General features: G+C 37.5%; 1 annotated feature.

The window, feature by feature from the left end:
• Positions 10267-10366: a silencer, noted in NCBI's record as "silent region_18108". NCBI's record gives its function as "represses an Ori minimal core promoter by ATAC-STARR-seq in GM12878 lymphoblastoid cells {active_cell/tissue: GM12878}" and the evidence as "EXISTENCE:reporter gene assay evidence [ECO:0000049][PMID:35858748]".

Here is a 13696-nt window from a genome sequence, read left to right as displayed (position 1 = left end):
GATATCAGCTCATTGCAACCTCTGCCTCCCAGATTCAAGTGATTCTCCTGCCTCTGCCCCCTGAGTAGCTGGGACTATAGGCCTGTGCCACCACACCTAGCTAATTTGTGTATTTTTAGTAGAGATGGGGTTTCACCATGTTGGCCAGGCTGATCTTGAACTCCTGACCTTAAGTGATCCACCTGCCTTGGCCTCTCAAAGTGCTGATTACAGGTATGAGCCACCGCACCCAGCTTCCTTCTCCAAATTTGTAAAGACTTTGTAATTTTTTTAAAAGTTAAGATGTAGTGTCCTTTCATTTCAACTTGAAGGACTCCTTTTAGCATTTCTTGTAGGATATGTCTAGAGGTGTTAAATTCTCTTAACTTTTATTTATCTAGAAAAGTCTTAATTTGCACTTAATTTTTTGAAAAATAGTTTTACTGGATAGTATTTTTGATTGGCAGTTATTTTCTTTTTTTTTTTTTAGTGCTTTGAATATATCACCCCACTCCCTCTGGCATGCAAGGTTTCTGCTGAGAAATCTGCTGATTATCTTACAGAGTTGGTTCCCTCATAAGTGATTAGTCTCTTTTGCTGCTTTCAGGATTTTTTCATTGTGATGTGACAGTTTGATTACAGTATGTCTTGGTGTAATTCTTTTTTATTTTATCCTAGTTGAAGTTCTTTGAGCTTCTTGAATTTGTATGTCCATTTATTTCCTCAAATTTGGGAAGTTTTTGGTTATTATTTCTTCAAACAGACTCTCTTCCTCTTTTCTCTCTCTTCTCCCTCTGGAATTACTATAATGTGTATATTGGTTGGCTTGATGGTGTCCTATAAGACCCTTAGTCTCTCCTCATTTCTCTTCTTTCTTTTTTCTTTTCACTCCCTAACTTAATAATTTCAAATGAGCTGTCTTCAAGTTTACTGATTCTTTCTTCTACTTGGTCTACTATTAAATACCTACTGTAAATTTTTAAAGTTTAGCTATTGTACACTTCAGCTCCAGAATTTGTTTTTTTAAAATGTTTCCATCTCTTTATTGATATTTTCATTTTATTCATCCGTTGTTTTCCTGATTTCATTTAGTTGTATATCTCTGTTCTCCTTTAGTTAAGCAAGCAGCATTAACATGTTTTTTTTAACTTTTATTTTTAAATTTCAGGGATACATGTGCAGGTTTTTTAAACCTTTATTTGAAATTCAGGGGTACACGTGCAGGTTTGTTACATAAGTAAACTTTTGTCATGGCGGCTTGTTGTAAAGATTATTTCATCACCCAGGTTTTAAGCCGAACACCCATTAGTTATTTTTCCTGATCCTCTCCCTCTTCCCAACCACCATCCTCTAGTAGTCCTCAGTGCATGTTTTTCCCCTCTATGTGTCCATGTGTTCTTATCATTTAGCTGCCACTTATCAACGAGAACATAAGGTATTTGGTTTTCTGTTCCTGCATTAGTTTCCTAAAAATAATGGCCTCCAGCTTCATTCGTGTTCCTGCAAAGGACATAATCTTGTTCTTTTTATGGCTGCATAATATTCCATGGTGTATATGTACCACATTTTCTTTATGTATTGTACCATTGATAGGCATTTAGGTTGATTCCGTGTCTTTGCTATTGTTAATAGTACTGCAATAAACATATGCATGCATGTGTCTTTATAATAGAACAATTAATATTCCTTTGGGTATATACCCAGTAATGGGATTGCTGGGTCAAATGGTAGTTCTGTCTTTAGGTCTTGAGGAATTGCCACACTGTCTACCACAATGGTTGAACTAATTTACACACCCACCAACAATGTATAAGTGTTCCTTTTTCTCTACAGCCTTGCCAGCATCTGTTATTTTCTGACTTTTTAATATTAGCCATTCTGCCTGGTGTGAGATGGTATCTCATTGTGGTTTTGATTTGCATTTCTCTAATGATCAGTGATGTTGAGCTTTTTTTATATGCTTTTTGGCTGTATGTATGTCTTCTTTTGAAAAGTATCTGTTCATGTCCTTTGCTCACTTTTTTATGGGGTTGTTATTCTCTTGTAAATTTGTTTAAGTTTCCTATAGATGCTGGATATTAGACCTTTGTCAAATGCATAGTTTGCATTCTGTAGGTTGTCTGTTTATTGATAGTTTCTTTTGATGTGCAGAATCTCTTTAGTTTAACTAGATCCCATTTGCCTATTTTTGCTTCTGTGTGATTGCTTATGGAGTCTTTGTCATGAAATCTTTGCCCATTTCTACGTCCAGAATAGGTTGTCTTTTAGGGGGTTTTTATAGTTTTCAGTTTTACATTTAAGTCTTTAATTCATCTTGAGTTAATTTTTGTATATGGTGTAAGGAAGAGGTCAGTTTCAATCTTCTGCATATGGCTAGCCTGTTATCCCAGCTCCATTTATTGAATAGGGAGTCATTTTCCGATTGCTTGTTTTTGTCAGGTTTGTTGAATATCAGATAGTTGTAGGTGTGTGGTCTTATTTCTGGCTCTCTATTCTGTTCTATTGGTCTATATGTTTGTTTTTGTACCAGTATCATGCTGTTTTGGTTACCGTAGCCCTGTAGTATAGTTTGAAATCAGGTAGTATGATGCCTCCAGCTTTGTTCTTTTTGCTTAGGATTGCTTTGGCTATTCAGGCTCGTTTTTGGTTTCATGTGAATTCTAAAATAGTTTTTTCTAGTTCTGTGAAGAATCTCAAGTTTAATAGGCATAGCATTGAATTTATAACTTGCTTTGAGCAATATGGCCATTTTAACAACATTGATTCTTTGTATTCATGAGCACAGAATGTTTTTTCATTTGTTTGTGTCGTCTCTAATTTTTTGAGCAGTGCTTTATTGTATTCCTTGTAGAGATTTTTCATCTCCCTAGTTAGCTGTATTCCGAGGCATCTTATTCTTGTTGTGGCAAGTGTGAATGGGATTGCATTCTTGACTTGGCTCTCAGCTTGACTATTGTTGGTTTATAGGAACGCTAGTGATTTCTGCACATTGATTTTGTATCCTGAGAGTTTCCTAAAGTTACTTATAAGCTTAAGGAACTTTTGTGCTGAGACTATAGGGTTTTCTAGATATAGCATCATGTCATCTTCAAACAGGGATAGTTTCACTTCCCCTCTTCCTATTTGGATGCCCTTTATGTCTTTCTCTTGCCTGATTATCCTGGCCAGGACTTCCAATACTGTGTTGAATAGGAGTGGTGAGAAAAAGCATCCTTGTCTTGTGCTGGTTTTCACGGGGAATGCTTCCAGCTTTTGCCCATTCAGTATGATGTTGGCTGTGGGTTTGGCATATATGGCTCTTATTATTTAGAGGTATGTTCCTCAATACCTAGTTTATTGAGAATTTTTAAACATGAATGGATGTTGAATTTCACTGAAAGACTTTTCTGCATCTATTGAGATAATCCTGTAGGTTTTGTCTTCAGTTCTGTTTATGTGATGAATCACATTTATAGATTTGAGTATGTTGAACCAGCCTCGCATTCCAGGGATAAAGACTACTTGATCGTAGTGGGTATGCTTTCTCATGTGCTGCTGGATTTGGTTTACCAGTATTTTGTTGAGGATTTTTGCATCAATGTTTATCAAGGACATAGTCCTGAAGTTTTCTTTTTTTGTTGTATCTCTGCCAGGTTTTGATGACAGTATGATACTGAACTCATAGAATGAGTTACGAGGTGTCCCTCCCCCTCATTTTTTTGGATTAGTTTCAGTAGGAATGGAATCAGCTCTTCTTTGTACATCTGGTAGAATTCAGCTGTGAATCCATCTGGTGCCAAGCTTTTTTAAGTTGGTAGTCTATTTATTACTGCTTCAGTTTCAGAGCTTGTTATTGGTCTGTTCAGGGATTCAATTTCTTCCTGGTTCAGTCTTGGGAGGGTGTATGTGTCCAGGAAGTAGTTTATCTCTTCTAGATTTTCTAGCTTATGTGCATAGGAGAGTTCATAATATTCTCTGATGGTTGTTTACATTTCTGTGGGGTCAGTGGTAATATCTGCCTTATGATTTATGATTGTGTTTATTTGAATCTTCTCTTTTTCTTCCTTATTAGTCTATCTAGCAATCTATCTATTTTATTAATTTTTTTCAAAAAACCAGCTTCTGGGTTTGTTGATCTTTTGAAAGATTTTTCATGTGTCTCTCTCTTTCAGATTAAATCTGCTTTTGATTATTTCTTGTCTTCTGCTAGCTTTGAAATTTTTTTGCTCTTGGGTCTCTAGTTGTTTTATTTGTGATGTTAGGTTGTTAACTTGAGATCTTTTTAATTTTTTGATGTGGGCATTTAGTGCTATAAATGTGTCTCTTAACATTGCTTTAGCTGTATCCTAGAGATTCTTATATGTTGTGTCTTTGTTCTCATTAATTTCAAGGAACTTCTTGATTTCTGCCTTAATTTAATTATTTACTCAAAAGTCATTCAGCAGCAGGTTATTCAATTTCCATGTAATTTAATTATTTTGAGTGAATTTCCCAGTCTTGATTTCTAATTTGATTGTGCCATGGTCTGAGAAACTATTTGCTATAATTTCAGTTTTTTGTATTTGCTGAGGCATGTTTTACTTCTGATTATGTGATCGACTTTAAAGTATGTGCCATGTGGTGATGAGAAGAATGTATATTCTGCTGTTTGGGGGTGGAGAGTTCTGTAGGTCTATCAGATGCATTTGATCCAGTGCTGAATTCAGGTTCTGAATATCTTTGTTAATTTTCTGTCTCAGTGATCTGTCTAATATTGTCAGTGAGGTGTTAAATTCTCCCACTATTATTATGTGGGAGTCTAAGTCTCTTTGAAGGCCTCTAAGAACTTGTTTTATTAATCTGGGTGCTCCTGTTTTGGGTACATATAGATTTAGGATAGTTAGATCTCCTTGTTTAATTGAACCCTCTACCATTATATAATGCCCTTCTTTGTCTTTTTTGATCTTTGTTGATTTAGAGTCTGTTTTGTCAGAAACTAGAATTGCAACCCCTGCTTTTTTCTGTTTTCCATTTTTGTGGTAGATTTTTCTCCATTCCTTTATTTTGAGCCTATGTGTGTCACTGCATGTGAGATGGGCTTCTTGAAGACAGCATACCAATGTTTTCTTTATCCAACTTGCCACTGTATGTCTTTTAATTAAAATGTTTAACTCATATACATTTAAGATTAGTATTGATATGTATGGATTTGATCCTGTCATCATGATGTTAGCTATTTATTTTGCAGACTTGTTTATGTGATTGCTTTATAGTGTCACTGGTCTGTGTATTTTAGTGTGTTTTTGTAGTGGCTGGTAATGGTCTTTCCTTTCCACATTTAGTGCTTCCTTCAGAAGCTCTTGAAAGGGAGGTCTGGTGGTAACAAATTCTCTCAGCATTTGCTTGTCTGGAAAGGATCTTATTTCTCCTTTGCTTATGAAGCTTAGTTTGGCCAATATGACATTCGGTGTTGGAATTTCTTTCCTTTAAGAATGTTGAATATTGGCCTCCAGTCTCTTCTGGCTTGTAGGGTTTTAGCTGAGAGATCCACTGTTAGTCTGATGGCCTTCCATTTGAAGGTGAACTGAACTTTCTCTCTAGCTGCCTTCCTTTAACTTTGTTTTTTTCATTTTGACCTTGGAGAATCTGATGGTCATTTGTCTTGGGGATGATTTTCTTGTGAGGTGTCTTAGTGGGGTTCTCTGAATTTCCTGAATTTGAACGTTGACCTCTCTAGCTAGGTTGGGTAAGTTCACATGGATGATATCCTGAAATATGTTTTCCAAGTTGGTTTCATTTTCCCCATCTCTTTCAAGTAGAACAATCAGTTGTAGATTCAGTCTCTTTACATAATCCTGTTTGCATTATTGCCCTGGAGTTGGTGTTGGCTTGGGGTGGGGTGCTGGCCATTGGAGGTCTGGGTGCCTTCTCTGTGCCTTGCGAGCAGGAGTGATCTCTCAGGGTGTGAGAGGATCCCCTGTTCTTTCTGCAGTGTAGCACAAGGGAGGGGTGCTGGTGGGGACAGGGCTTGCTGGCTCTGTGTCCACCAAGGCTTTGTCTGCAGTGGCAGTTAGCAGGAGTGGAGGGGCCTATTGCACTCCCGTGTGCTGGCTGGGCAAGTAAAACAAAACCTGCCCCTGCAGACATGTGTCAGCAAAGTGATGTGGGGAATTGATGTGGGCTTGGGGAAGCTATAGTATGGGGAGGAAATGTGAGGACGGGTGTGTGGCTGTAGGAGCCACCTCACTGGAGCCCTCCTCCAGTCAGTCACAGTTCACCAGGGCAGAAGCTATGAGGAGGGCCTCCAGGGTACCCAAGACTGCCCTATAAACATGCATGGCCAGGCTGGGGCCCCAAGAGAGGACAGCAGACCAAGGAGTGCTCAGGTCCGACCAGCTCCATCTGATATGCAAGACCACCCTGCAGAGGTCAGGTTCAACAGGTCCCTTAAAGCTAAAGTCTCTTATGGGAGCAAGTCAAGCTTAGAGGGATGGCTGTCCCTGGCCATGATCCTGCACCCAACCCTCTGGGCTCCGTATCAGCTGGCTTGCTGCCCCACCACTTTGCTTGTTTACTGGGGGCTCTACTCCAGAGAGATGTGTGTCAGCAATTAGTCAGTGCAATCAGCCCAGAATTGGAGGGTCTGTGCTGTGAGCCCAAGCAAGCCAGGGGTTCCTTGTCCAGTGACACATAGTTGTAGGGTTGGGGTAGGGTGTGGGACCCATGGGAGACAGGCTGGTCCCCTCTGCAAGCGGGATAAATCTCACTTGGTCATGATGAATGACCAGTTTTATATCAGAGATATTGGCCTATAGTTTCTTTATTATGTGCCTTTGTCTAGTTTTGCCATCAGTGTAATATTTGTATCATAGAATGAGTTTGGAAGCATTCCCTTCTCTTCTATTTTTCAGAATAGTTTGAGTAGGATTGGTATCGGTTATTGAAATGTTCGGTAAAATTTAACAGTGAAGCCATCAGTTCCTGGACTCTTCTTTGCTAGGAGACATTTTATTATGGTGTCCGTCTTGTTACTAATTATTGGTCTATTCAGGTTTTGAAATTTTTTTTCCTGGTTCAAACTTGGTACATTGCATGTATCTAGGAATTTATCCATTTCTTCCAGGTTTTCCAATTTATTGGCACATAGCTACTCATAGTAAGTCTATAATGATCCTTTGAATTTCTGGTGTATCACTTGTGATGTCTAATTTTTCAATCTGATTTTATTTATTTGGGTCTTCTCTCTTTTTTTCTTAGTCTGTCTCAACTTTTGTCAACTTTATTTATCTTTAAAAAACAACTTTCCATTTTGTTGATCTTTTCTATTCTTTTTTGTTGCAATTTCATTTATTGCTGCTGTGATCTTTATTATTTCTTCTACTAATTTTGGGCTTGGTTTGCTCTTGCTTTTCTAGTTCTTTAAGATATGTCAATAGGTTGTTTACTTGAAGTTTTTACACTTTTTGATGTGGCACTTATTGCTATAAACTTCCCTCTTAGTACTGCTTTCGCTGTATCTCTTACATTTTGATATGTTGTATTCCCATTTTCATTTGCTTCAAGAAATTTTTCAATTTCCTTCTTAATTTTTGTATTGACCCAACTGTCATTCAGGAACATAGTGTTTAATTTCTGTGTGTTTGTATAGTTTCCAAAGTTTCTCTTGTTATTGATTTCTACTTGTATTCCATTGAGGTCAGTGAAGATACTTGATGTGATTTCAGTTTTTTTGAATATTTTAATACTTGTTTTGTAGCCTAACATACAGTCTATCCTTCAGAATGATCCATATGCTGAGGAGAAGAATGTATATTCTGCTGAATGTATATTCTGGATGAAATGTTCTGTAAATATCTATTAGGTCCATTTGGTCTACAGTGTAGATTATGTCTGATGTTTCTTTGTTGATTTTTTTTGTCTGAATGATCTGTCCAATACTGATAGTGGGCTATTGAAGTCTCCAACTATTATTGTATTGGGATTTACCTCTCTCTTTAGCTCTAATAATATTTTATTTACATACCTGGGTGCTCCAGTGTTGGAGGCATATAAATTTACCACTGTTATATCTTCTTGTTGAATTGACCCCTTTGTTAGTAAATAATGATTCAGTTTCCCTCTTTTTACAGTTTTTGTCTTGAAATATATTTTATCTGATAAAAGTATAGCTGCTCCTGTCCTGCTCTGTTTTAATTTCTATGTGTTTCTTGTAGGCAGCAGATAGTTGGGTCTTTTTTAAAAAAAAATGCATTCAGTCACTTGATTTTTTGACTGGAGAATTTAGTCCACTTACATTCAATGTTATTATTGGTAAGGACGGACTTATTTTGCTATTTGTGGTATGGTTGCTTTATGTTTTTCCCTCCTTCTTTTCCCTCGTTTCCTTTCCTTGCTTTCCTTCCTTCCCTTCCTTCCTTCCCTCCCTTCCCTTCCCCTTCTCTTTTCCTTCCTTCCTTCCTCCCATCCTTCCTTTCTGCCTTCCTTCCTTCTTCCTTCCATCCTTCCTTCCTTCCTTCTTCTTTCTTTTTTCCTTCCTATCTTTCTTTTAGTGAAGGTGATTTTCTCTGGTGGTATATTTTAATTTCTTGCTTTTGTGTGTGTGTGTGTGCACGTGTGTGTGTGTGTGTGTGTGTGTGCTATAGGTTTTTTTTATTTGGGGTTACCATGAGGTTTGCACATTACATCAAATAAATCATTATTTTAAACTGATGACAACTTAGCCCTCATTGCAAAAAAAATGCAAAGAGAAAATGAATAAAAACTCTACACTTTAACTTCATCCCCTTTACTTTTAAACTTTTTGTTGTTTCTATTTATATCTTATTACTCCATGTCTTTAAAAGTTGTATAGTTATTATTTTTATGGATTCATAGATTCATCTATTTGTACTTCTGCTTAAGGTAAGAATAGTTTACACATCACAATTACAGTGTTATAATATTCTGTGTTTGTGTACTTAGTTTTGCTAGTGAGTTTCATACCTTCAGGGTTTTTGTTTTTGTTTTTATTTTTGTTTTGCTCATTAATGCCCTCTTCTTTCAGACTGAAGAACTTCCTTTAGCATTTCTTGTAGGACATGTCTGCTGTTGATGAAGTCCCTCAGCTTTTGTTTGTCTGGGTATGTCTTTATTTCTCCATTATATTGGAAGAATATTTTTGCCAGATATAATATTCTAGAATAAAAGTTTTTTTTCCTTTTAGCACTTCGAATATGTCATGCGACTCTCTCCTGGCTTGTATGGTTTCCACTGAGAAGTCTGCTGCCAGATGTATTTGAGCTCCTTTGTATGTTATTTGTTCCTTTCCTCTTGCTGCTTTTAGTATCCTTTCTTCATTCTTGACCTTGGGGAGTTTGATTGTTAAATGTCTTGGGGTAGTCTTATTTGGGTTAAATCTGCTTGTTGTTCTATAACCTCCTGGTACTTAAATATTGGTATATTTCTTTAGGTTTGTAAAGTTTCTCTTATCTCTGTGAATAAACTTTCTACCCTTATATCTCTCGCTACCTCTTCCTTGAGGTAATAACTCTTAGATTTGCCCTTTTCAGGCTATTTTTTAGATCTTGAAGGCATGCTTCATTCTTTTTTATTTTTTATTCTTTTGTTTTCTCTGACTGTGTATTTTCAAACAACCTGTCTTCAAGCTCACTGATTCTTTCCTCTGCTTGATCAATTCTGCTATTGAGATATCCAATGCATTCCTCAGTTTCTCAATTGAATTGTTTAGCTCTAGAATTTTTGCTTGATTTTAAAAAATTATTTGAATCTCTTTGGTGAATTTATCTGATAGATTTTGAGTTCCTCCTCTGTGTTATCTTGAAGTTCATTGAGTTTCCTCAAAACAGCTATTTTGAATTCTCTGTCTGCAAGGTCACATATCTCTGTCGCTCCTGGATAGGTCACTGGTGCTTTATTTAGTTTGTTTGATGAGGTTATGTTTTCCTGGGTGGTCCTGATGCTTGTGGATGTTTGTGTCTGGGCGTTGAACAGTTATGTATGTATTCTAATGTTTGCAGTCTTAGCTTATTTGTACCCATCCTTCTTGAGAATACTTTTCAGGTATTCAAATGAAATTGAGTGTTGTCATCTAAGTCTTTGGTCACTGTAGCTATATCTGCATTAGAGGACACCCCAAGCTCAGTATCACTGTGGCTGTTGCAGACTTGTAGTGGTACCACATTGGTGATCTTGGGTAAGATCTAGAAAAATTCCCTGGATTAAAAGGCAGAGTGTCTTATTCTCTTCCCTTACTTTCGTCCAAACAAACAGAGTCTATCTCCCCATGCTATACTGAGTGGACTTGAGGGAGGTGTGACACAAGAACTTTCATGGCCACCACTGCTGGGATTGTGCTGGGTCATGCCTGAAACCAGCACAGTACTTGGTTTTGCCCAAGACCTGTAGTGACTGTTGCCTGGTTACCACTGATGTTTATTCAAGTCCCAAGGGCTCTTTACTCAGCAGGTTGGTGAATCCTGCCAGGCCTGGATCTTTCCCTTCAGGGAAACAGAGTCCCTTTTGGCCCAGGGTGGGTCTAGAAATGCCATCCAGGAGCTAGGCCCTCGTATTGGAAATCCTAGGAATCTAACTGGTGCTTTGTTTTACTGTGGCTGAGCTGGGACCCAAGCCACAAGACAAAATCCTTTTTACTCTTCCCTCTCTTTTCCTCGAAAATAAGGAGTCTCTCCTCATGGTCACCATAGCTGGGAATGTAGAGAGTTACACCCAAAGCCAGTACACTAATGGGTCTCTCTCAGGGGCTGTGGCAACTACTGCCTGTCTACTGCTGAAGTTTCTGCAAAGTCTAAGGGCTTTTTAGTCAGCAAGTGATGAATCCTGCCATCACTGGGTCTTTCCATTCAGGGCAGTGGGTTCCCTTCTGTCATCTGGGAACTAGGGCCTGAATTCTGGGCTTTAGGACTCTGTTTAGTGCTTTATTATACTGTGGCCGACCTGGTGTCCAAGTTGCAAAACAAAATTCTCTCTACTCTTCCCTTTCCTTTCTTCAAACAGAAGGAAGGAGTCTCTCTCAGAGCTGTGGGTGGTGATGCCTGGGGTTGGGGGAGTGGTGATGCAAGCACCGCCTTGGCTGCCCCAGCTGGTATCTCACTAAGTCATGTGTACCCCAAGACTACTGGCTCTGAGCCCAGCATAGCACCAAGAATTGCCTGGAAATTGAAGTCCTTATGGCCTAGAATGCCTTTCAAATTTATTTAGGAGCCCATTGCCCTACAGCCCGCAGTAGTGGGGCTAGCCCAAATTCAGGTTCCAACTGCTGGGATGAATGATTCCTCTCTTGCTTGGGCTGGCTAAATGCTCCCTTTTTGGATGCCAGCTGAATTCTGCCCTATCTTGCCTTCTGTTGTGACAGGCCAGCACTGAGTTCTAATGCAAAAGTCCACAATTATTTTGTTCTCTCTCCCTCAAGCATACAGATTCTCTCTTGGTGCCACAAAGTCACCGCCAGGGAATGAAGGAGGGGTGGTGACAACAATTCGAGACTGTTTTACCTACCCTCTTCAGTGCCTCTTTTCTTGTTATGATGTTAAATGTCGTGATGTTAAAACAAGGTACTGTGTTCACACACTTGAGAGTTGGGTCTCATGAAGGTGCTTTCTTGTGTGGACAGTTGTTCAATTTGGTGTTCCTTCAGGGGAGTGGGAGACTACTGCTGGAGGGTTGTATTTGGCCATCTTGCTCCATGTCCTCCCCTCCCCAGCCCTCTGTATTGAATGGTGTGTTTATTCTCACACATCTGTCATATATGGTTTCCATATGTGAGTAGATCTACTTTTGAGCTATCACTTCTACTTGCTTGAGCTAATACCCTGAGCTAATACCAGACAGTCTTAAATACTATTGCTTTATATAATATGCCCCCTCCCCTTCTTGTTCCTCTTCAAATTTGTCTTTGAAATTCTTAGTCTTTTGTCAACTTCAATGAAATTGTCAGGTAAGACTTTGTGTTTATATTTAATTTGTAGATTTATTTAAAGATAATTACAGACTCTTTCATATAGAGTTTTCCAATCTTTGGAGTTGGTAATTTTCCCATTAATTTATGTCTTCTTTTTTCTAAGCTTCAGTATTGTTTTTTTGCTGTTCTTTGTAAAAGATCATTAGAATGATTTGCACAATAAGAGATTAACAATAACTAATAATAATACAATTATAAGAATATACTGTAATAAAAAGTTTGTGAATGAAATCTTTCTCTCTCTCTCTCTCTCTCTCTCTCTCTCTCTCTCAGAATATCTTATTATACTGTACTCACCTATTTTGGACCTTGATTGATGGTGGGTAGTTGAAACTGGGGAATCTGGCCACCCAGATTAATTCATAATTGTGCCTAATTTGTAAACTAAACTTTATTCTAGGTAAGTATGTACAGAAACAAACATATGATATATAAAGTTAGGTACTATCTGTGGTTTCAAGCATCCACTGGGGATCTTGGACCGTATCCCCTGCTGATAAGGAAGGACTACTGTAGACAATAATGGAATATGAAAATATAAACAGTTTCATCCATTCTTTCCCAATTCTTGTGTCATATATTTATTTTTCTTATTTTATTGTTTTGATTAGAATATCAGTGTTAAAAAGCAACTGTGAATGCCCTCTGCTGTTTCTTTTATTTTCTATTGCATTGATTTTTATTCTAATCTTTATTGCTTATTTTTTTCTTCAGAATATTCTTGTTATTTTATATCTTGATTTAAAGATTTAATTTTCAGTCATTTAGTTTTTAATATATCCATTCGATTCTAATAAATTTACCTCTAAATGCCACTTAGCTGCATCTCATACATTTTGATATATAGTACTTTTATAAGTGTTAATTTATGACTATTCTATTGTAATAGCCTCATTACATTTTAAAGGTTTCAAATATTGAAGCTTAAGGGAAATTTTCCTTTTAAATAATCTTTAGTGTTTATTTCTAATAGCATTGTATTATAGTCAGAGGTCACAATTTACATGCTATTAATTCTTTGACCAGATATCAGCAAAGAATATTCAATGCATTTCAACTTTTCTGAATAATCTATGTGCACATTAAAAGAATATATTTCACAGCCGGTGTTTTGGGTTACACCTGTAATCCCAATACTTTGGGAGGCTGAGGTGGGAGGATTGCTTCAGGCCAGGAATTTGAAAACAGCCTGGGCAGCACAGTCAGACACTATCTCTACAAAAGCTTAAAAAATTAGCTGAGCGTAGTGGCACATTCCTGTAGTCCCAGCTGCTTAGGAGGCTGCAGTATGAGGAATGCTCAAGTCCAGGAGTTCAAGGCTGTGGTGAGCTATGATCATGCCATTGCACTCAAGCCTGGCCAGCAGAGTGAGATTCTGTCTTTAAAAAAAAAAAAAGAAGAAAAAAAAAAGGCTTATATTTCATGTATTTGTTGGGGGCACTGTTTATATACACCACATCCATCCATCCTATCAAGCAGTTTGGTTTTATTGTTTAAATGTACTATATCCTTTAAAATTTTTTTGTCCACTAATGTTTTTTGATAGATGCAGGTAAAAATTTCCCACCATAATTCTGAATATGTATTATTTCTCTATATCTCTGCCCATTTTTGCTATATATAAATTTATTGTAATAAGGGATGCATAACATAAGATTTACCATTTTAGCTATTTCTAAGTGTACAATTCAGTGGCATTAATTATGTGCATGATGATGTGTAACCCTATTTCCAAAACATTTTTATTGCCCCAAATAGAAACTCTGTAACCATTAAGTAAAA

The sequence above is a fragment of the Homo sapiens genome, chromosome 7 (genome assembly GCF_000001405.40).
Source record: "Homo sapiens chromosome 7, GRCh38.p14 Primary Assembly".
In the NCBI taxonomy this organism is placed as follows: Eukaryota; Metazoa; Chordata; class Mammalia; order Primates; family Hominidae; genus Homo; species Homo sapiens.
Note: the sequence above shows the minus strand (reverse complement) of the source record. Positions and strands in the feature narration are given on the sequence as shown.